The sequence below is a fragment of the Homo sapiens genome, chromosome 7, assembly GCF_000001405.40.
Source record: "Homo sapiens chromosome 7, GRCh38.p14 Primary Assembly".
Taxonomy (NCBI): domain Eukaryota; kingdom Metazoa; phylum Chordata; class Mammalia; order Primates; family Hominidae; genus Homo; species Homo sapiens.
Genome location: NC_000007.14, coordinates 119,087,698 through 119,089,695, shown reverse-complemented (window position 1 = coordinate 119,089,695; position 1,998 = coordinate 119,087,698).

The following is a 1,998-nucleotide window of genomic DNA, read 5'->3' as shown; positions in this document are numbered from 1 at the left end:
AAAGAAGACATATAGTCAACAGCTATATGATAAAATGCTCAACATCACTAATCATCAGGGAAGTGCTGGCTAACACCACAATGAGATACCACCTCAGACCTGTTGGAATGATTATTATCAAAAAAAATCACAAGAATGTATCAAATATTGTCAAGAACAGAGAAAAAGGAACCCTTGCACACTGTTGATCATGTAAATTGATACAGCCATTATGGAAAAAAATATGAAGATTACTCAAAAAAACTAAAATACTATATAAACTAGCAATTCTACTTCTGGATATGTATCCAAAGGAATTAAAATCAGTATGTTACAAACATATTTGCCCTCCTACGTTTTTGAGGCATTATTCACAATAGGCAAGAAATGGAAGCAAACTAAGGTCTATCAATGAATGACTGGATAAAGAAAATATGGTATACATGCACAATAGAATACTATACAGCCTTATAAAAGAAGAAAATTGATTATTTCTAAAAACATAGATGAATCTGGGGGACATTATGCTAAGTGAAATAAGCAAGACAGAGAAAGATAAGTACTATAAAATCTCACTTGTATGTAAAATCTAAAAATGTCAGACTCATAGAAGCAGTTTGTTACCAGAGGATGAAGGGGAAACGTTGAAGAAAGAGGAGATGTTGGTTAAAGGGTACAAAGTTTCAGTTAGAGAGGAGGTGCGTTTTAGTGGCCTACTGAACAGCATGGCGACTATAGTTAATAATAATGTATTGTATATTTGAAAGTTGGTTAAAATTTGATTTTAATTGTCCTCATCACAAAATAATAGTAAGTATATGAGGTGATGGACATGTTCATAAGCTTGATTTAATTATCACACAATGTGTAAATATATCAAGATATTACATTGTGCCCCATAAATATGTACAATTAATATTTGTTAATTAAAATAAAATCTAAAACAGAGGTTTATTGTTGACTTTTTATTTTTCTAAAACCATAAATTGGCTTTATCTGTTACCTTATTTAATCTTTCCATGGAAACTGGTAGGTGGGCATGATTACTTCAATTTTTTTTTTTTTTTTTTTTTTTTTTTTTTTTTTTTTTTTTTTTTTTCAGAGTCTCACTCTGTTGCCCAGGCTGGAGTGCAGTGGTGCAATCTCAGCTCCCTGAAACCTCTGCCTCCCAGGTTCAAGTGATCATATTTTTAGACTATTAACTGAAGTTTAGATTTCATATGAAACTTGTCCAAATTCATGATATTAGAAAAAAGACTCAAACACAGATCCTCTTCCCCAAGTATATTATTTTTATTATACCAGTTGATAACATGCAAACAATTATTACTACAATTACATCATTTCATATACTTACTGTAAATTAATAATATCCAGTATCATATTTAATCTACTAACTACACACATTTCTTAAACTTTACTGAATCCAAGATATTATATTTGAAACAAACATAATCTGGGAAGTGTTTCTTCTTCTTTGACACACTTGATTTTCATTAAAATCTTCCCCAAAATGTGTTGGTTACAAAAACACTTAATCATAACCAGACACACATATTTGGTATTTTTATTGTAGTATTTATTTTCTTTTATGGTGGCAGAACTTTCATTAGCATTCCTATAGCTCACAAATATATAATCTAAAAATATTGGAACTTTGTCAGAAGTATTTAAAAGAATTTTAGGGTCACTAATATTTAAAAAAATCTGACTACAAAACATAAATACATTTCTTTATTTTATAAACAGAAATCCTAATGGCTTGTGTATAGACTAGTTAGAAGAGGAGATGTGATTTGTTTCAGCAAGGAAATTATACACTACTCTCTTATGATTAATGTTGAGTTGTCTCCTTGGTGATTTTGAACTATTTTTTATGAGTTTGGTTTTAAAACTGAGATCACAACCTTTGTAGAACTGAATCCTCCAACTTTGTCGATTACCAGTAAAGTCCAAATCACATGCATTTTTGTACTTCAATGTTCTACAAAAACACTCAGCACTTGATTATGCCTTCAT